The sequence below is a fragment of the Homo sapiens genome, chromosome 7, assembly GCF_000001405.40.
Source record: "Homo sapiens chromosome 7, GRCh38.p14 Primary Assembly".
NCBI classification, from domain to species: Eukaryota; Metazoa; Chordata; class Mammalia; order Primates; family Hominidae; genus Homo; species Homo sapiens.
In genome coordinates this window covers 102,643,341-102,663,926 of record NC_000007.14, presented here as the reverse complement: position 1 = coordinate 102,663,926, position 20,586 = coordinate 102,643,341, and the positions used below count along the sequence as shown (strand labels likewise).

Sequence of the window (20,586 nt, the reverse complement as noted above, 5' to 3'; positions counted from 1 at the left end):
GGCGGGCGCCTGTAGTCCCAGCTACTCGGGAGGCTGAGGCAGGAGAATGGCGTGAACCCAGGAGGCAGAGCTTGCATTGAGCCAAGATCACGCCACCGCACTCCAGCCTGGGTGACAGAGCGAGACTCCATCCCCCCCCAAAAAGAAAAAAGACAAAAAAAAAATTGTGTCACACAGGCCAGATGCAGTGGCTCATGCTTATAATCCCAGCAATTTGAAAGGCAAGGTAAGAGGATCGCTTGAGCTTGAGTCTGAGGCCGCAGTGAGCTATGACCACACCACTGCACCCCAGTCTGGGTGACAGCGCAAGACCCCAACTCCAAAAAGGAAAAAGAAAAATCACAAGGAATTGCATGTCAGAGTGCCTGTCTTTCACAGCTTTAACTGCTGCAGGAACGAACTTTTTTTTTTTTTTTTTTTTTTGAGAGGGGGTGAGGAGACACAATCTCTGCTAGTGATTCTCCTGCCTCAGCCTCCCAAATAGCTGGGATTATAGGCGTGCACCACCACGCCTGCCTAATTTTTGTATTTTTAGTAGAGACAGGGTTTCACCATGTTGGCCAGGCTGGTCTCAAACTCCTGCTGGGATCATGGGCGTGAGCCACCACGCCCGGCCACCTTTAGAGTTTTCTTACCACCTGGTTTTCCTCTCTCAATATCTTTCTCTCATTTCCTGCCTTAAAACTCTAGCTTGGCATCTGGGCGCAGTAGCTCATGCCTGTAATCCCAGCACTTTGGGAGGCCGAGGTAGGTCTTGAAGTCAGGAGTTCGAGACCAGCCTGGCCAACATGGTGAAACCTTGTCTCTACTATTTTTACAAAAGTTAGTCGGACGTACAGACGGGTGCCTGTAGTCCCAGCTACTTGGGAGGCTGAGGCAGGAGAATTTGTTTGAACCCAGAGGTGAAAGTTGCAGGGAGCCGAGGTTGTGCCACTGCACTCCAGCCTGGGAGACAGAGCAAGACTCTGTCTCCAAAACAAACAAACAAACAAAAAAACCCTGTAGCTTGGGATCAGCCTTCTCTTCTATTGTTTTTCTTTAAAAAATAAAAATTAAAAATAGATGTAGATGCTATGTTGCTGAGGCTGGCCTCAAACTCCTGGCCTCAGGTGATCCTCCCGCCATGACCTCCAAAACCACAGGGATTGTAGGTGTGAGCACTGCACCCAGCCTTATGTTTTTTTCTACATAAAAAACAGCACAGGATTATCTTCCAGAGCTAATAAATATGTTCAAATAACCACAACCCCATTAAGGAAAAATATCACTGGGCAGCAAATAATCAATCCAGACCAATATGATCACAATTGCTGTGAAGGTGAGAAAAGTTCATTTTTATTATGTTTCCCCAAGAGACGCACTCTATTGTTCTCTTGAAAACACACAGCTCATGTCCTCCTTTAGAACACACATCCTCTTTAAAGTAACATACAAACATGCCAAAACAAGGTAAAAAATTACATCTGAATTCTCACATTTCAAATATATATGAAATATCAAATAAAAATTTATTTTTACAAGAATTTAGGGGAACTACTACATAGCTATAAATGTAATATATATGTTAACTAAGTATCATAGATAAAAACCATGCTCCCTTCAGCAGCACGTGTAATAATAGATACAAAGATTGAAAGGTAAAAGATTTAGGATGAAAAGAATCCTCTCTTAAAAAGGAAAACAAAATTATATGTATGTGTATATAACAGTTATAATATCCATCACACAGCTTTATAGAAACAGCATCTATTCAAAAATACCAGTATTTCCAAAATATTTAAAATAATATTTAAAGTAATAATATTTAAATAAATAAATATATTTAATAAATATTTAAATAAATAAAATAATATTTAAATAATTCTATACCCATGTTTTTCAAAATAAACCAATAAAATAGATAGTATATATTAGACGTGTTAGTATATATATCTGAGGCATGTTAAAAATCACAACTGAATTCTCACAATTCAGTCACAAACCTAAACAGCAAATAAAAATTTCTATCACCAGAATTATGTTTTTTTCTGGTGGGGAACTACCAATAGCTATAAATAGAAGAGATTATTATGGAAGTATCATAGATAAAAAGAGTGCTCGCTTCAGGAGCACATGTAATAATACAGAAACAAATTTAAAGATAATAAAATATTTAGGATAAAAAGAATTGTCTCTTAAAAATGAAAAGAAAATTAGCTTTATGTATATATAACAACTATAACTCTCATCAAAAAACTACAGGAACAGCATGTTTTCAAAAGTACAACAATTTCCAAACTATTTGAAATAAATCTATGAATAATTCAATGGCCGACATTTTCCATACAAACCAATAAAATGCAGAGTGTGCATGAAGCTATCTGTTACAATCTGTGGCACTGATATTTCACAAAAGAATTCTGTCCCAATCTGAGCCCCTGCATTGTGCCTTCAAATCCTCCTGGACTGCAAGTCCGTAAGAAACAGGACCTCCAGGTTCCGCCCCAGGGAGGTTGGAATTCAGCAATATAAAAAGGGTGGTGGTGCCGCAGGAAAGGGTGGAACTGGAAACGCTCCTGGTTTCTTACTTTTCTCCAAGGACTCCTAGAAGGACCCCACCCCCCTCCCCCCACCCCTGCTCCTAGGAGGACAACGTGATCACTGTATTCAGCTCCATCAAGAATGGTCCAGGTTCTTCTAGATGATCTGCACAAATGGTTCCTCTCCTCCTGCCTGGTGTCTGCCATTAGCATTGGAATAAAGTTCCCGCTGAAAATCCACATCTCCCCTGGGTCCGGTGTTCTGGAAGCGAGAGAGACAATGTCACACTTCAAGGAGGCAGCTCTCTAGACAGGAAAGTTATTCACGTCCCATGTCAATTGAGAAATGCAATTTTATCTGCTGCCTTTCATTCTATACCCTGCTTCTGAACCATCGTGTTCAACTGTGAAACTCACACTTTGGTGACCACGACTCCAAAACTCACTTAATACACCCAAGGTCAGCCCCAGTGATCTGCTTCATAGCAAGGACTTTGGGTGGGTCTGCCCAGGGAGTAGGGCACCCTCAGAGAATGTGGCTTTGGACTTTATCACAGCTGGGGCCTTTTGTGTCACTTAAGATCTAAACTTGTAACCATGCTAGATGTGTTTCTAATGTGACAACATCACGAACCACGAGTCCAGAAGCCTAATCCTTAATCCTACCTCCTCATGATGAAGTCTCATGCTCTGTGCTCAACGTGGTTAGCTGCACAAGATGTAAACCAAAGCTTCACTGAACCCTCGACCCAAATCAGTAACTCAAGTGCGTCAATCATAATGAACCTCCCCAAACTCAGTTTTTATGATTATTTTTGAGGCAGGGTCTCACTCTGTCGCCCAGACTGGAGTGCAGTGGCAGGATCAGGGCTCCGTGCGGCCCCGACCTTCCAGGCTCCAGCGATCCTCCCGCCTCAGCCTCCTGAGTAGTTGGGAGTAGAGATGCGTCCCACATCGCCTGGCTAATTTTTGTATTTTTGTGGAGAGGGGATCTCGCCACGTTGCCCAGGCTTGAAGCCAGATCAAGCAATTGGGTTCTTCGGATTTCCGAAATAGACCCCAATATTCTGCCTTTACCCCAGAGGATGCAGATGTACCTTCTCTCAGGCCGATGACCTCAGGCCTCCCCGGTCCCTGGAGCTCTAGGAAAGGTGAGCGCGATCTCGCGCCCACACCCAGTGCTCTGGGTCATAAGCCTGGATCTGGAAAAACAAACGCCCTTTGAGAAGACGGGGACTCGCCAGGATACCCCTCTCTCCCCTCATCCAGCCTCCAGCCCACCCAATTCCTCCCCACCTCCTCCACCTCCCCAGGCCCCACTCACCTCCTCCAACTCCTCTGGGGAAACCCAAGCCCTGCAGCTCATGGAACAGAAGAAGTGGAACCGTCGTTTCTGGAACAGGACTATCTGAGAGCGGTTCTTCCTGGCCCTCGAGTTCATGGAACGGTATAACTGGAACCGACGCTTACGGAGCAAGGGTATGCGAGAGCGGTTCTTCCTGGCCCTCGGGTTCGTGGAACGGTATAACTGGAACCGACGCTTACGGAGCAAGGGTATGCGAGAGCGGTTCTTCCTGGCCCTCGGGTTCATGGAATGGCCTAACTGGAACCAAGGCTTACGGAGCAAGGGTATGCGAGAGCGGTTCTTCCTATACAGGAAGTGGAAGATGTTTTGTTTGGAGTCCTCGTCGTCCTCCTCCATGTCATTGGCCAGGTAGCTGAGGACAGAAATCAGGTTGCTGCTCAGGGGCACCACCAGGAGAGGCCTCCGGCTGAGGTCAGCTTCCCAGAGAGGAAGGTAAGGGACCGTCCCTAGCTCAGGACTGGCACCCACCCTGCAGAGAGCCATGCCTTCCTCAGGAGGGCTCTGCTGGACAGAGACCTGATCAAGGGCGTCTCCCACTCCTTCAGGATGGAGACAAAAACCCAACTGGTGGCCGAGAGTGGTGGCTTACGCCTGGAATCCCAGCACACTGGGAGGCCAAAGCAGGAGGATCACTTGAGGCCAGGAGTTTGAGACGGGCCTGGGCAACATAGCAAGACCCTCGTCTCTATTAAAAATGTAAGAAATATGCCAGACGCGGTGGCTCATGCCTGTAATCCCAGCACTTTAGAAGGCTGAAGCAGGTGGATCGCTTGAGACCAGGAGTTGGAGACCAGCCTGGTCAACACGGAGAAACCCCATCTCTACTAAAAATACAAAAATGAGCCTGGTGCGGTGGCACACCCGTTAGGCCTAGCTACTCAGGAGGCTGAAGCACAAGAATTGTGTGAACCCAGGAGGCGGAGGTTGCAGTGAGTTGAGATTGGGCCACTCCATTCCAGCCTGAGAGGCAGAACAAGACTCTGTCTCAATAAACAAACAAACAAACAAACTGTCCAGGTGTGGTGGCACAGCCCTGTAGTCGGAGCTAATAAAGAAGCTGAGGTGGGAGGATCGCTTGAGCCCAGGATATGGAGGCTGCGGTGAGCTATGATCTCACCACTGCACTCCAGCTTGGGGGACAGGGCAAGTCTGTCTCAAAAAAATAAAAGAAATTGAATACATTGATATTTTGCCAGGACCCTGCCTTCTACAGGCATCTAGTCTAATGGGACTGGGAGTAATCAAGGCAGATGACCTAATCCCAGTGTCCAGGATGTAACTAGAGAGCTACGGGCATGCAGAAGTTGGAAGATGAGGGAAGGCATCACAGAGGCTGTGGGGTGAACTGATTTCAAGGAATGGGTCCTTCCCTTCAGAGCCACATGTGTGCGGGACACCCAGACAGAAAACACAAACACAAAGTCGAGTGGAGGGCATTTGGAAGGAGCAGTGAAGCCGAGCCAGGAAATACCAAGATGGCGAGCCAGTGTGCTTGTAGAGATTGTAGAGAGGGTAGAATGGACACTGTGGACCCTGGCCTCGATAGAGAAAGGCATCAGCTAAGGAAGTTGTTCAGGTGGGCAGTGAGGTTGTCGTGCTTTGGAAAGATGTTCAGGCTGCACTAGGAAGCCCCCTGGCTTGGGGAGAGACTCCAGGAGACCCCAGCGGGGAGCATTTGACAGTAAATTCGAGTGATGCGAGGGGGACCTGAACTGTGGCCTCTGTCATGGGAACCCAGAGGAGGTCGATGGCGTTTGTGGTTGATGTGGGAAGGAGAGAGAGAGAAGAACCAGAAACGTCTGCTTGCTGGAGGAAGCGGCATGTCCGCTCCTCCACTCCTTTTCTTTTCCCCTTAGGAGCGGTTTATGGTTCCTTTTGTTTTATTCTTTTATTTGTACACTGGCATTGGAGTTTCTTTTTTTGGCTTTTTTTTTTTTTTTTTTTTTTTTTTTTTTGAGAAAAAGTCTCACTCTGTCACCCAGGCTGGAGTACAGTGGCTCGACCTTAGCTTACTGCAACCTCCACCTCCTGGGTTCAAAGGGTTCTCTTGCCTCAGCCTCCCGAGTAGCTGGGATTACAGATGCACACCACCACGCCCAGCTAATTTTTCTATTTTTAGTAGAGACGGGATTTGGCCATGTTGGCCAGGCTGGTCTCGAACTGCTGACCTCAGGTGATCCGCCTGCCTCGGCCTCCCAAAGTGCTGGGATTACAGGCGTATTCCACTGTGCCCAGCCTGAGTTTCTGTTTAGAAACAACAGTCTATGATAGTATAATCCTCTCTTTTTTGTACACAGAGTAAAGAGGACAAATAGGTGAAAGAATAAATGAAAGGCTGGAATCCCACTTCCCCCGCTGTCCCAGGGCATTGGATATTGACGGATAGGAGGCAGCAAACCACTCACAGAGCCAGGAAGAAATGAATGCGTTGGTATTGCCAGGAGGGGAAGCCGGCCCGGCTGAAATACGCTATGACCATAGCCAGGAGATACTGATGGAGAGAAAGGAACACAGAGAGGGAGAGGTCACATCTTGGAAGAGGAAGATTGTGGAGAGGGGGAATGAGGGTCTGGGGAGGGGCTGCCCATCAGAGAAGGGACCTCAGTGTTGGGGTGACTACTCATTTGGAAATTGCGGGATGGAGGGGTATTCGAAGGTCGGATGCAAATCCGAGAAGCCAGAGGAAGGGTTTTGGGTGATGCTCCCAGGATGGTGGGCTCCGATGGGATCTTTGGAGGGGGTGTGTCTAGGTCGGCTGGTGTCAGGAGGGTCTTTTGTGTGCCAGGCAGAGAACTGTCCCGAAGAGCTGAGAGTAGAGGGGCCAGGAGCTTCAGGGCTGCGGCCAGACTGTGGCCCAGAGCTCAGATCCCAAAGGACCCATAGGAGAGGCAGGGGCCACTCATTCACTCTGCAAGAGACCAGCAGAATCCTGAGGGAGACGCTGACAAATCATAAAAAGACCAAGAATAGCCGGGAGTGGCGGCTCAAGCCTGTGATCCCAGTACTTTTTGAGAGGTGGAGACAGGAGGATCATGTGAGCCCAACAGTTCGAGAACAACCTGGGCAACATAGTGAGACCCTGTTTCTACAAACATTTCAAAAATTAGTTGAGCATGGTGGCATGTGCCTAGTCCCAGCTCCTCAGGAGGCTGAGGAAAGAAGATTGCTTGAGCCCAGGAATTAGAGGCTGCAATGAGCTATGATCATGCCACTGCACTCCATCCTGGGGAGCAGAGCTAGACTCTGTCTCACAAAAAAAAAATTTGTGGGTGCCAAGACTCAAGACCATGGGAGCTGGTCGGGCACAGTGGCTGACGTCTATAATCTCAGCACTTTGGGAGGCCAAGGCGGGTGGATCGCCTGAGGTCAGGTGTTCAGGACCAACCTGGCCAACATGGCAAAACCCCGTTTCTACTAAAAACACAAAAATTAGCCAGGCGTGGTGGTTCATGTCTGTAATCCCAGCTGCTTGGAGGCTGAGGCAGGAGAATCGCTTGAACCCAGGACGCATCGGCTGCAGTGAGTCAAGATCGAGACACTGCCCTCCAGCCTGGGCAACAGAGCAAGACTCTGTCTCACACACACACACACACACACACAAAAAAAAAAAAAAAAAAAAAAGACTGTAGGAGCATCTGGTGGGAGGTGGTGGAGGGAGAACTGTGGGTTTGGAAGCTGCGCCCTCCCCCCAGCCATGCGTTGGAACAGGAACAGTTACATGGAGAACAACCTTACCTTGTCCGACACCCTCAGATCTTTGTCCCAGGCCAAGAATCTTTTAATGACAGGATCCTCTGTGATTAGAGAGCAGATGTCAGTGTGAGAAGCAGGACAGGGTTTCCGTGGGAGCAGCAGGGCAGTGAGGAGAAGTGTGCCTCCCGGGGGGAAGTCTCAGGATTGTGGCCGCGGGTGAGGTGGATGGGAGAGGGGAGAATGACTTTCACTGGGCAAGGGAGAGAGGCTCCTGCTCTGAGACTCCCCTGAGAAGAGGCCGAAGGAGGCCCTGGGTGTGAGAATCTACAGGATGTAGAGCTGGGAATCAGCCAGGACCCCCTCCAGCAGACACGGAGGGACCACTGCAGAGTCATAAAGGAATTCCCATCATTTCCTCATGAGACAGTCACATCAGGGTGTGACCATGGCCTTGGTATCCCCCACTATGGATGGAGACACTTAGGTTTAGAAAAGTCAGTAAGAGACATTAAGTTTCAGAGGGCACAGCTGAAACCACTTTCTTTGTTTATTGATTTTGTTTTTCTTTATTGGATTTTTATTTTTATTTATTTATTAATTTATTTTGAGACAGAGTCTTGCTCTGTGGGCCAGGCTGGAATGCAGTGGCCTGATCTTGGCTCACTGCAACCTCTGCCTCCCGGGTTTAAGCGATTCTCCTGTCTCAGCCTCCCGAGTAGCTGGGATTACATGCATGAGCTACTGTGCCCAGCCTTGGTTTTTCTTTTGAGACAGGGTTTTGCTCTGTCACCCAGGCTGGAGTGCAGTGGTGTAGTCATAGCTCACTGCAGCCTCAAAGTCCTGAGTTCAAGCAATCCTCTTGCCTCAGCCTCCCAACGTGCTGGGATCTCAGGCGGGAGCCACTGCGCCTGGCCCGAAACCAAGCTTTCTTATCCCAAGCGCTGACCTTTATCAAGTTGACCTAATCCTTTATCATCTCCTAAGTGTCCCTCATGAGTGATCACTTCACATTCCTCCCACATGGAGAGCTCACCCACTGGGGCCTATTTTTCCCATTGGAAAAGTGTGGTTATTGGAAGTTTCCTGTTTTTGGAAAGAACAGGATTGGAGGTGCTCTCTGGGGTGTCCTCCTACCAAGCAGCCTGTTGAAGGCCTCGTGGTGCTCAGGGAGCACGAGCGACACTCGCCGTCGCTTCAGCTTCATCTTGAGGCCACACAGCATCTCCGCCACCCAGATCTCCTCAGGCTCAGGGGCGAGCACCTTCCGTGGCTCCTCCTCCAACGACTCCTCAGATTCGTCCCACCACTCCATCTTCCTTTTCCAGCAAAAGGACCTATGCGGGGGGCTGGGATCTACCCCAGGGGCTGAGTAAAGAAACCAGGCCACGGTGTAATGCTTCTGCAGTTGATCACACTAGAGCCCGACCCAAAACCCCAAACCACTCTCCATCCTCCCCAGCCTCGCAGACTGCTGGCTTCTCCAAGCCATCTTTCCTTCTGTCTGTCTCCTCTGCTGAGCTCCATGTGCCGCTCCTTCTCCTCCCCATTCTCCCGTTTTTCTGTCCTCAGAACACTTCCTCATATCCTTCCCTGGTCCCTGGCTCTCTGAGTCCCTTTTTTTTTTTTTTTTTCGTTGTTGTCGTTGTTGTTGTTGAGAAACAGTCTTGCTTTGTGGCCTAGGCTGGAGTGTAGTGGTGCGATCTTGGCTCACTGCAACCTCTGCCTCCCGGGTTCCAGTGATTCTCCTGCCTAAGCCTCCCAAGTAGCTGGGATTACAGGTGCCCACCAGAACGCCCAGCTCATTTTTGTGCTTCTAGAAGAGACAGGGTTTCACCATGTTGGCCAGGCTGGTCTCCAACTCCTGGCCTCAAGTGATCTGCCTGCCTGGCCTCCCAAAGTGCTGGGATTACAGGTGTGAGCCACTGCACCCTGCCTCAGTACCTCCATTCTTCCCACACACCCTCCTCATGTGCTCCTTCCTGACTTCTGGGCCCTTCCTTCCTTTTTTTTTTTTTTTTTTTTTTGAGACAGCGTCTCACTCTCTCACCCAGAATGGAATGCAGTGGCGCTATCTTGGCTCAAAGCAACCTCTTCCACCTGGGTTCAAGCGATTATCCTGTCTCAGCCTCCTGAGTAGCTGGGATAACAAGCATGCCTGGCTAATTTTTGTATTGTTAGTATAAATGAGGTTTCGCTATATTGGTCTGGTTGGTCTCGAACAACTGACCTCAAGTGATCCACCCATCTCAGCCTCCCAAAGTAATGGGATTACAGGCATGAGCTACCACACCCGGCCTTCGTTTTTCTTTTGACACAGGGTTTTGCTCTGTCACCCAGGCTGGAGTGCAGTGGTGCAGTCATAGCTCACTGCAGCCTCAAAGTCCTGAGTTCAAGCAATCCTCTTGCCTCAGCCTCCCAACGTGCTAGCATCTCAGGCGTGAGCCACTGCACCTGGCCCGAAACCAAGCTTTCTCATCCCAAGCGCCAACCTTTATCAAGTCTAGCCTAGTCCTCTATCGTCTCCTAAGTGTCCCTCATGAGTGATCACTTCTGAGTCCTCCTGCGTGGAGAGCTCAGCCACTGGGGGCGTATCTTTCCCATTGGAAAAGTGTGGTTATTGGAAGTTTCCTCTTTTTAGAAAGAACAGGATTGGAGGTGCTCTCTGGGGTATCCTCCTACCAAGCTGACTGTTGAAGTCCTTGTGGTGCTCAGGGAGGATGGATGACACTCGCTGTTGCTTCAGCTTCATCTTGAGCCCACACAGCATCTCCACTACCCAGGTCTCCTCAGGCTCAGGGGCGAGCTCCTTCTCCGGCTCCTCCTCAGATTCATCTGACCACTCCCTCTTCCTTTTCCAGCCAAGGGACCTACATGGGGGGCTGGGATCTACCCCAGGGGCTGAGTAAAGAAACCAGGCCACCGTGTAATGCTTCTGCATCTGATCACCTTAGACCCCGACCCAAAACCCCAAACCACTCTCCATCCTCCCCAGACTTGCAGACTGCTGGCTTCTCTAAGCCATCTTTCTGATTTTCTCCTCTGCTCAACCCCATGTGCCGCTCCTTCCCCTCCCCATTCTTCTCTCTCTCTGTCCTCCGAACACTGCTTCCTGTCCTTCCCTGGTCCCTGGCTCTCTGAGTCCCTCCTTTTTTGTTTTGTTTTGTTTTGACACAGAATCTTGCTTTGTCACCCAGGCTGGAGTGTAGTGGTGCAATCTCAGCTCACTGCAACATCCATCTCCTGGATTCCATTTATTCTTCTGCCTCAGCCTCTCAGGTAGCTGGGATTACAGGTGCCTGCCATAATGCCCAGCTCAATTTTGTACTTTTAGTAGAGACAGGGTTTCACCATGTTGGCCAGGCTGGTCTCAAACTCCTGGCCTCAAGTGATCCGCCTGCCTTGGCCTCCCAAAGTTCTGGGCTTACAGGTGTGAGCCACTGCACCCAGCCTGAATTTCTCCATTCTTCCCACACACCCTCCTCAGGTTCTCCTTCCTGACCACTGACCCTTCTTTTCTTTTTTTTTTTTTTTGGAGTGCAGTAGTGTGCTCTCAGCTCACTGCAACCTCTTCCTCCCAGTCTCAAGTGATTCTCCTGTCTCAGCCTCCTGAGTAGCTGGGATTACAGGTGTGCACCACTACAACTTGGCTAATTTTTATACTTTTAGTAGAGATGGGGTTTCACCATATTGGCCAGGCTGGCCTTGATCTCCTGACCTCAGGTGATCCGCCCGCCTCGGCCTCCCAAAGTGCTGGGGTTACAGGCGTGAGCCACCGCACCCGGCCCCCTTCCTTCGTCTTAGTCAATCCTATCCCACCTCTTCTTCCACCAGTCCCCTCACCTGATGGTCCCAACATTTCATCATCCACCACCTCCTGGAGGGGGTACCCCGAGGTGCTCCGCTGGGGACTCTGCTCATTCTGGGGGTGCGGTTGACGGCTGGTCGTGATCTTTCCCGTAATCTGTCCCCTCTTACGGAACCTAGTCTCCGTTCTGTCCATGGCCTTCTTCTGGACACTTCTAGGATCCAGAAGAGTATGTTATCAATTCTCAAGCCTAGGAGAAGTCAGGAGTAGAGAACAGCTCTGAGAAGATACTGTTGTCCAACTGATCTCCAGGCACCACGGAGTCCGGTCCCTCCAATCAGGAAGGTCGGAATCTCTGATGTCATCGTTCATGCCAACCTGGCAACCAGTTTGAAAAAAAACACATGTAACTGCCAGGCTGATCTCTTGTCCTGGAGATCCTGGGTGAATGGTATCTCCTGCCACTGTCCCAACCTCAGACCATTGTCCAAAAGCATCTTCAGGGACTCCACATCCCTCTATTCCCTGTCCCAGCAGAGGCTGTGTCCTCTCCACTCAAAGCCTGAAGCATGTTGGGGTCTCTTCGTCTCTGTACATGCCCATTTCAGAGTCCAGTCTGGTGGGAGAGGGAACAGAGTGGGAAAGAAAACTAGGGTAAGCAGAAACGATGAAACCTTATAAGAGTGAGAGTATCATGTACAAGAGTGAGATTATCATGTACAAGAGTGAGATTATCACGTACAAGAGATCCCAGGAATACTGACTTGATGAAAAAGTCACATCAGAGCACTCAGTTTGGCAGAGCTTTTCTGCCGAATGTTTACTCACATTCACTGTCCGAGATTCTATACTGGGGGTACACACGTCCTCTGCCCTAAGGCAATTTTGAGTCCAAGAGACATTTTGAGGCCTAAAAATCATAGGAAACTGCCCCTGAGCTCACACATATTTCCAATGGTGTCCCCAGTTTCAGGGAATCCATGGATTACCTAAGCCAGCCCCTCCAGTTCGGCTAAGAAACTCTAGTCTATATATCAAGTTTTGTATCATATGTATTGCTCTGAACTCAGAAATTTCCCTTCCATTTATGGATTCTATGAATAAAATATCACATGTACAAAAAGACTAAGTCAAAAAATTTCAGCTGTGCACAGTGGCTCATGCTTGTAATCCCAGCACTTTGGGTGGCCAAGGGAGGAAGATTGCCTGAGGCCAGCAGTTCGAGACCAGTATAGGCAACATAGCAAGAGCCCATCTCTAAAAAAACAAAACCAAACCAAATTAGCCAGGTGTGGTGGCTGGCACCTGTGTTCCAACTACTTGGGAGACTCATGTGACAGGAAGATCACTTGAGCCCAGGAGTTAGAAGCTGCAGTGAGCCGTGATCTTGCCACTGCACTCCAGTCTGGGCAACACAGCAAGATACTGTGTCAAAAAAAGTTTTTTTGATAAAAAATAAAAGAGTTACATGACATTCAGAGACCATCCAAAAAACCTGTGGGTTCCCGGCTGGGCTCAGTGGCTCATGCCTGTAATCCCAGCACTTTGGGAGGCCAAAGTGGGTGGATCACTTGAGGTCAGGAGTTTGAGACCAGCCTGGACAACATGGTGAAACCCCATCTCTACTAAAAATACAAAAAATTAGCCAGGCATGGTGGTGGATTCCTGTAATCGCAGCTACTCAGGAGAGGGCGCTGGAGAATCACTTGAACTCATGGTGCGCAGGTTGCAGGGAGCCAAGATGGCACCATTGTGCTCCAGCCTGGGCAACAAGAGCAAAACTCCATCTCAAAAAAAATAAAGAACCTGCGAGTGAGTTCCCACACGTTTTCCTAATGGGCTGCTGCTTTCCTAGGAGTCTCTCGCTCATAGAAAAGGCACAAACTGAAAGAGGAAGCAGATCCCATTGCTGTGGAAGTCCCATTGTTAGGAAGCTCTGCTTTTCTGGAGTTCAAATTCGCATTCATGACGCTTTAAACCGTCAGAGCTGGGTGGGTCCTCCTACAACAAAATAGTTTGCTCTCTCTCTCCTAGTTAACAGGCTTTCAAATATTAGAAGATCAATGTTCTGACCCCATTAAAATTTCTCTTTTGTGGAATGAAAAGCTCTGATTTAACCCATCTTCAAGGCTGGTTTGATGGAGGAATAGGGGCTGAGTCAGCTGCATTTCCCCTCCCTGCACAAAGTCCTGGGCCCAGATCTGGGGTCTGTCTCTGCTGAGGGTGGGGTGAACCAGGAAGCACCTCCTTCTTCATCTCCTTGATGAATGGGTATAATGGTTGCCATGGAACTGGGGCTTGTTTGATGACCTGGGGCTGGGTGGGCCTCTGAGAGCCTTTATAGCTGATTGCCTTTTGGGAGAGGGGAGGTGGGAGCCCCACCCTGTCTCATGAGTCACCCCAAAGGTGCATGGGCAGGCAGGTGCTGGGGAATCGGCTACTCCCCAGAGCTTGGCGTGGCCATCCCTGTGGCCCCTCTGGGAGTCTGGAGCCCATTCCCTCACACTGGTACTCACTGCAGCTGGGGACATCTGCACTAGGAAGACAGGACACGGCATGGAAGCTGGCCTCTGCCCAGAAGCCATGACATTCTGGTCACCAGCCTGATGCTATAAAACGAGTGTCACGGCCGGGCATGGTGGTTCACACCTGTAATCCCAGCACTTTAGGAGGCCAAGGCGGGTGGATCATGAGGTCTGGAGTTCGAGACCAGCCTGGCCAACATGGCGAAATCCCGTCTCTACTAAAAATAAGAACATTAGCCAGGTGTGGTGGCACATACCTGTAGTCCCAGCTCCTCTGGAGGCTGAGGCAGGAGAATCACTTAAACCCAGGAGGCGGAGATTGCAGTGAGCCGAGACCACGGCATTGGACTCCAGGCTGGGCAACAGAGCACGACTCCATCTCAAAAACAAACAAAAAAAAAGAGTGTCACCTGGGGCTACTTGGCCAGACACAGAGAGCAAGGAGACATCCCTATTATCTGTCAAAAATAATTGTTGGGGCTGAGCACAGTGGCTCATGCCTGTAATCTCAGCACTTTGGGAGGTCGGGGCAGGAGGACTTGAGGCCTAGAGTTTGAGACCAGCCTGGGCAACATAGCGAGCACCCCATCTCCAGAAAAAATTTAAAAATTGGCTGGGCGCAGTGGCTCATGCCTGTAATCCCAGCACTTTGGGAGGCCGAGGGGGATGGATCATTTGAGGTCAGGAGTTTGAGACCAGCCTGGCCAACATGGTGAAACCCCATCTCTACTAAAAATACAAAAATTAGCCGGGCATGGTGGTGGGCACCTGTAATCCTAGCTACTTGGGAGGCTGAGGCAGGAGAATCGCTTGAACCCAGGAGGCGGTGGTTGTAGTGAGCTAGGATCATGCCATTGCAGTCCAGCCTGGACAGCAAAGCTAGACTCCATCTCAAAAAAAAAAGAAAAGAAAAAGTAAAAAATTTAAAAATTAGATGGGCATGGTGACATGTGCCTGTAATCCCAGGTACTAAGGAAGCTGAGGTAGGAGGATGACTTGAGCCTAGGAGTTCGAGGCTGCACAATTATTGTGCCAGACCCCTAGGTTAACAGTGAGGATTCAGTGGGAGAACTAAACAGATAAACAGATCCAGTCCCCGCCCTCAGAGAGTTACAGTTTAATGGGAAAAAGAGACATTCACCAAAGAAGGACACAGCCCACTAGTGAGTTACACTCGAGAGGGATCATTTACAGAACAAAGCAGATTATAAAAATACAGCGATTGGCTGGGTGCAGTGGCTCACGCCTGTAATCCCAGCACTTTGGGAGGCAGAGACGGGCGGATGACTTGAGGTCAGGAGTTCTCAACCAGCCTGGCCAAAATGGTGAAACCCCATCTCTACTAAAAACACAAAAATTAACCAGGCGTGGTGGTGGGCACCTGTAATCCTAGCTACTTGGGAGGCTGAGGCAGGAGAATGAATCGCTTGAACCCAGGAGGTGGAGGTTGCAGTGAGCCGAGACCGCACCATTGCACTCTAGCCTGGGCAACAAGAGCAAAACTCCGTCTCAAAATAAATACATACATACATACATGCATACATACATACAGGGATTAAAATAGTCTAGTACTGACACCTGAACAGACAGATTGATCCAAGAAATGAAACAGAAATTCCAGAAGTTGACCTGAACACACACACACACACACACACACACACACACACACACACGAAGGCGTGAAAGACTCCATGACCCTCAAGGTATAAGATGCATTTTTTTTTTTTTTTGAGACAGGGTCTCACTCTGTCACCCAGACTGGATGCAGTGGTGCACTATCCCAGCTCAGTTCTACCCTCCATCCCCCCAACCTCCCCCAACCACCCTGAGCTCAAGCAATTCTCATGCTTCAACCCTCAGCCTCATGAGTAACTGGGACTACAGGCGTGCACCACCATGCGCAGCTAATTTTTTGTATTTTTAGTAGAGATGGGTCTAACCATATTGCCTAGGCTGGTCTCGAACTCCTGAGCTCAAGCGATCCTCTTGCCTCAACCTCCCAAAGTGCTGGGATTACAGCTGTGAGCCACCGCACCCGGCCGCATTCTTCTAAATCACAGTACATCTGGTTCCCAGTGCCCAGGCTCTCAGGGCAGAGGGTCCAGTGTGATCACTTTGCATGGCCTCTCTCCCCTCCTGAGCTTGTGCCAGGGCCCCAGGGCTGACCTGGAGAAGGAAAATGGCAGAGGGTGAAGATGGGGTGTCTGGTTTGGGGACCATCCTGGCCCCCCTTGTCACTGTTGGCATCTCTTCTGCACAGTGGCATTGCTGGGAGGTGCTTACTGTGCCTATTCAAGGGGCTGGCAGCCGCAGCCTCACTGCAGATCAGGGACTTGGCTTCCCGGTTGACCACAGGTCCAAGAACCTGCAGGGTCCAGCCTCCCCCCCATCCCCAGTCTTCCCCACCCTGGCCCGGCCCTCCAGGTGCAGAAACATGCAGGCCCCTCTCCAGGACTGTGGGAGGAGTGTGTCCCTCAGACTGGCCTGTGTCCTGGCTCCTCTTACCACCTCTTCCAGAGGTTGTCACCTGCAGCTGCCCCAGGATAAAGGCAAGGCCAGAGAGGACTCCTGAACTCCTGTGTGCCTGGGGTGGCAGGGGCAAACATAGCCAACTGGTGGCCTGAGCAGGGCCATGGTGAGGACACCCTTGGTGGCTTGTCCCACATCAAGCTGGGAGGTGACACTGAGGATGCATTAGTCTGCAGCGTATGATAAAAACCGCATTTCAGGCCAGGCGTGGTGGCTCATGCCTGTCACCCCAGCACCTTGGGAGGCCGAGGTGGGCAGATCATATGAGGTCAGGACTTTGAGACCAGCCTGGCCAACATGGTGAAAACTCATCTGTACTAAAAAAACAAAAATTATGTGGGTTGGTGGTGTGCGCCTGTAATCCCAGCTACTTGGGAGGCTGAGGCAGGAGAATCACTTGAACCTGGGAGGCGGAGGCTACAACGAGCCGAAATTGCACCACTGCACTCCAGCCTGACTCCGTCTCAAAAAAAAAAAAAAAAAAAGGCATTTCAGTTCAAATAGGGAAAGGATACATCTTTCTTTCTTTCTTTCTTTCTTTCTTTCTTTCTTTCTTTCTTTCTTTCCTTTCTTTCTTTTTCTTTCCTCCCTTCCTTTATCTCTCTCTCTCTCTTTCTCTCTTTCTTTTTGAGATGGAGTTTCACTCTCGCTGCCCAGGCTGGAGTACAATGGTGCGATCTCGGCTTATTATTATTCTCCATGTTGGTCAGGCTGGTCTTGAACTCCCAACCTCGGGTGATCCGCCTGCGTTGGCCTCCCAAAGTGCTGGTGTGAGCCACTGCACCCGGCTTAGGATGCATTTTTCAATATTTTAGTGTTTGAATAACGGGCTAACTTGAGAAAAAAATAATTTGAATCACACATCACACCAAAAATAAATTCTAGGTGGATTTTAACACTTTCAAAAATTATTATTAGTTTAGAGACAGGGTCTCACTCCGTCGCCTAGGCTGGAGTGCAGTGGTATGATCATGGTTCACTGCAACCTTAAACTCCTGGCCTCATATGATCCTCCGGCCTCAGCCTCTCAAAGTACTGGAACTACAAACATGCACCACCACGCCCAGCCTAGGTGGGTTTTTAAAATCCATTCAAGGGCGGGTGCAGTGGCTCACACCTGTAATCCCAGCATTTTGGGAAGCCAAGGTGGGAGGATCACTTGAGCCCAGGAGTTCGAGACCAGCCTGGGCAACATAGTGAGACCACATCTCTACAAAAAATTTAAAAATGAGCCAGGCATGGTGGTGCACACCTGTCGTCTCTGCTATTCAGGAGGCTGAGGCGGGATCATTGTTTGAGCCCAGGAGACAGATTGCAGTGAGCTATGATGGCACCACTGCATGGCAGCCTGGGTGACAAAGGGAGACTCAGTCTCAAAAAAAAAAAAAAAAAGGTGACAGGCTGGGTGCAGTGGCTCACACCTGTAATCCCAGCACTTTGGGAGGCCGAGGCAGGTGGATCACCTGAAGTCAGGAGTTTGAGACCAGCCTGGCCAACATGGTGAAACCCTGTCTTTACTAAAAATACTAAAGTTGGCCAGGCGTGGTGGCGTGTGCCCGTAATCTCAGCTACCTGGGAGGTTGAGACAGGAGAATCACTGGAACCCCAGAGGCAGAAGCTGCAGTGAGCTGAGATTGTGCCACTGCACTCCAGCCTGGGTGACAGACCGAGACTCCAACTCAAATTAATTAATTAAATTTTAAAAAAAAAGGCAAAGAGGGAGTCCTGCCTGGGTACAGGAGACCTGGGGTTGGGTCCCAGCCCTGCCGCTGACCTGCCCTGGGACTGCAGGAAGTTTCTTTCCCTGCTGGGCCCCAGGTTTCTTCTCATCCATATAATGAGATTAGTCATAACACCTGCCCTGCCCATCTCTGGGGACCCAAGGAGAGGATGAGTCGATGAGCAAGAACGTGTTTTCAAAAAGGGGAAACAAGCCCTTCCCACATTCTGATGTCTGCTTTCAACTGCCTTTTGAAAGGGAGTGAGAGAGGGAAAAATTGTATTATACAGGCCGGACATGGTGGCTCACACCTGGAATCCCAGAACTTCAGGAGGCTGAGGTGGGAGGATCACTTGAGCCCAGGAATTTGAGACCAGCCTGGGCAACACAGTAAGACTCTCTTTCTACAAAAAGTTAAAAAATTAGCTGGGCAGCCGGACACAGTGGCTCACGCCTGTAATTTCAGCACTTTGGGAGGCCGAGGCAGGCAGATCACATGAGGTCAGGGGTTCAAGACCAGCCTGGCCAACATGGCGAACCCCGTCTCTACCAAAAATACAAAAATTAACCAGGAGTGGTTGTGCACGCCAGTAATCCCAGCTACGCAGCAGGCTGAGGCAGGAGAATCACTTGAACCCAGGAGGTGGAGGTTGCAGTGAGCCGAGATCGTGCCATTGCACTCCAGCCTGAACGACAGTGAGACTCTGTCTCAAAACAAACAAACAAACAAACAAAAAATTAGCTGGGCATGGTGCCTTATACCTGCAGTCTCAGCTACTAGGGAGGCTGAAGTGGGAGGATCACTTGATCCTGGGAGGTCAAGGCTGCAGTGAGCTATGATCACACCACTGCACTCCAGCCTGGGCAACAGAGTGAGACCCGTCTCAAAAAATAATAATAATATAATAAATAAAAGAGACCCCAGAGAGCTTCCTTGACCCTTCCACCATATGAGGACACAGCTAGAAGGCACTCTCTACGAACCAAAAACAGACACCAACTCTTCCTAGTTTTTGTTTTTGTTCTTGTTCTTTTTTTTTTAAGATGGAGTCTCACTTTGTCACCCAGGCTGGAGTGCAGTGGTGTGATCTCGGCTCACTACGGCCTCCCCATCCTGGGTCCAAGCGATTCTTGTGCCTCAACCTCCCGAGTAGCTGGAATTACAGGCGCGTGCCACCACGACTGGCTAATTTTGTATCTTTAGTAGAGACGGGGTTTTTCCACATTGGTCAGGCTGGTCTCAAACTTCTGACCTCAGATGATCCGCCCACCTTGGCCACCCAAAGTGCTGGGATTACAGGTGTGAACCACTGCGCCCGGCCAGAAGTTTTTCTTGTGAGTTGAGGTGAACATCTGAATCCCCTCGGGGAACTGAGGTATGTCCCCTTCAGGGAATGGTCCCTCTTCATCCAAAAATGGGGCCCACAGGTGATAATCTGTTGGGTTTCCCAGAATGAAGACATCTGGCATAATTAGAGCGTGAAGGTCAGGCTGACGGGGGCTAGCACCCCGATCCAGGGGAGAGGTGGTCACAGGTCTCGCTCCACCTGCCCTGAGCCCCATCTCATCTTTTTTTTTTTTTTTTTTTTTTGAGGGGGAGTTTCACTCTTGTTGCCCAGGCTGGAATGCAGTGGTGCGATCTCGGCTCATTGCAACCTCTGCCTCCTGGGTTCAAGTGGTTCTCCTGCCTCAGCCTCCTGCGTAGCTGGAGTTACAAGAACAAGCCACCACGTCCAGCTAATTTTGTATTTTTAGTAGAGATGGGGTTTCGCCGTGTTGGCCAGGCTGGTCTCGAACTCCTGACCTCAGGTGATCCACCCACCTCGGCCTCTCAAAATGCTGGGATTACAGGCGTGAGCCACCATGCCTGGACTTCCATCTGGTAATTTTCTGTCTCGAGGAGGAACTACCCTGCCCTGACAGAGGCTGGGGATGAAGGAGGAAGAGACAGCCGGTCCCCTGGATAAAGAGGTGAGGGGGTGTGAAGTCTGGGAGCCCCCCTCCCAGGGCCAGGCTACAGGGGGACAGCAGGGCTATACCAGGAGTGCCACAGAGATGCATTTGGGTGTGATCTAATCCCCAGTCCTGCCCTGACCTCCTGGGTGCTCTTAGCCAAGCCCTCTTCCCTGTGTGTGCTAGAAAGTGAGGGTCACTCCCTTCCACACAAGGGAGTGAATTGAGGGTGGGGATCTGAGCTCTCTGAGCAGCAAAGCTGGACACAGGCCAAATTGCCAATCCTGAGTCCCTCTGTCATGTGGACCTGGGAAGCTTGTCCTCATCCTCCATCCTTCCCCAGGGTGGGGCCTGAGAATCTGAGAACCTTGAGCCTGGGAGGTCAAGGCCACAGTGAGCTATGATCGCACCACTGCACTCCAGCCTGGGCGAAAGAGTGAGACCCTGCCCCCCCCAAAAAAAAATAATAATAAATA

At 49.9% G+C, this 20,586-nt stretch overlaps 1 protein-coding gene and 1 long non-coding RNA gene across 4 annotated transcripts in view; one reads left to right on the top strand and one right to left on the bottom strand.

Moving 5' to 3' along the window:
* POLR2J2-UPK3BL1 (POLR2J2-UPK3BL1 readthrough) overlaps positions 1 to 20,586 on the top strand; it is a 34,639-nt gene that overhangs the window by 7,737 nt on the left and 6,316 nt on the right. The window lies entirely within an intron of this gene.
* SPDYE2B (speedy/RINGO cell cycle regulator family member E2B) lies at positions 1,302 to 13,608 on the bottom strand. 3 transcript variants are annotated; one of them, NM_001166339.2, is made up of 9 exons: positions 13,550 to 13,608; positions 11,419 to 11,999; positions 10,258 to 10,476; positions 8,713 to 8,943; positions 7,621 to 7,679; positions 6,291 to 6,376; positions 3,844 to 4,237; positions 3,617 to 3,721; positions 1,302 to 2,781 (listed from the first exon to the last, which is right to left on the bottom strand). In NM_001166339.2, exons 2-8 carry the CDS (start codon positions 11,576 to 11,578, stop codon positions 3,662 to 3,664), a joined length of 1,209 nt encoding a protein of 402 aa, NP_001159811.1. In that variant the 5' UTR covers positions 11,579 to 11,999; positions 13,550 to 13,608; the 3' UTR covers positions 1,302 to 2,781; positions 3,617 to 3,661. The 3 variants fall into 3 exon arrangements, with proteins under 3 accessions (NP_001159811.1, XP_011514004.1, XP_047275649.1); XM_011515702.4 differs by lacking the exon at positions 13,550 to 13,608 and having other exon boundaries at positions 2,631 to 4,237; XM_047419693.1 differs by lacking the exons at positions 1,302 to 2,781; positions 3,617 to 3,721; positions 6,291 to 6,376; positions 13,550 to 13,608 and having other exon boundaries at positions 4,208 to 4,237.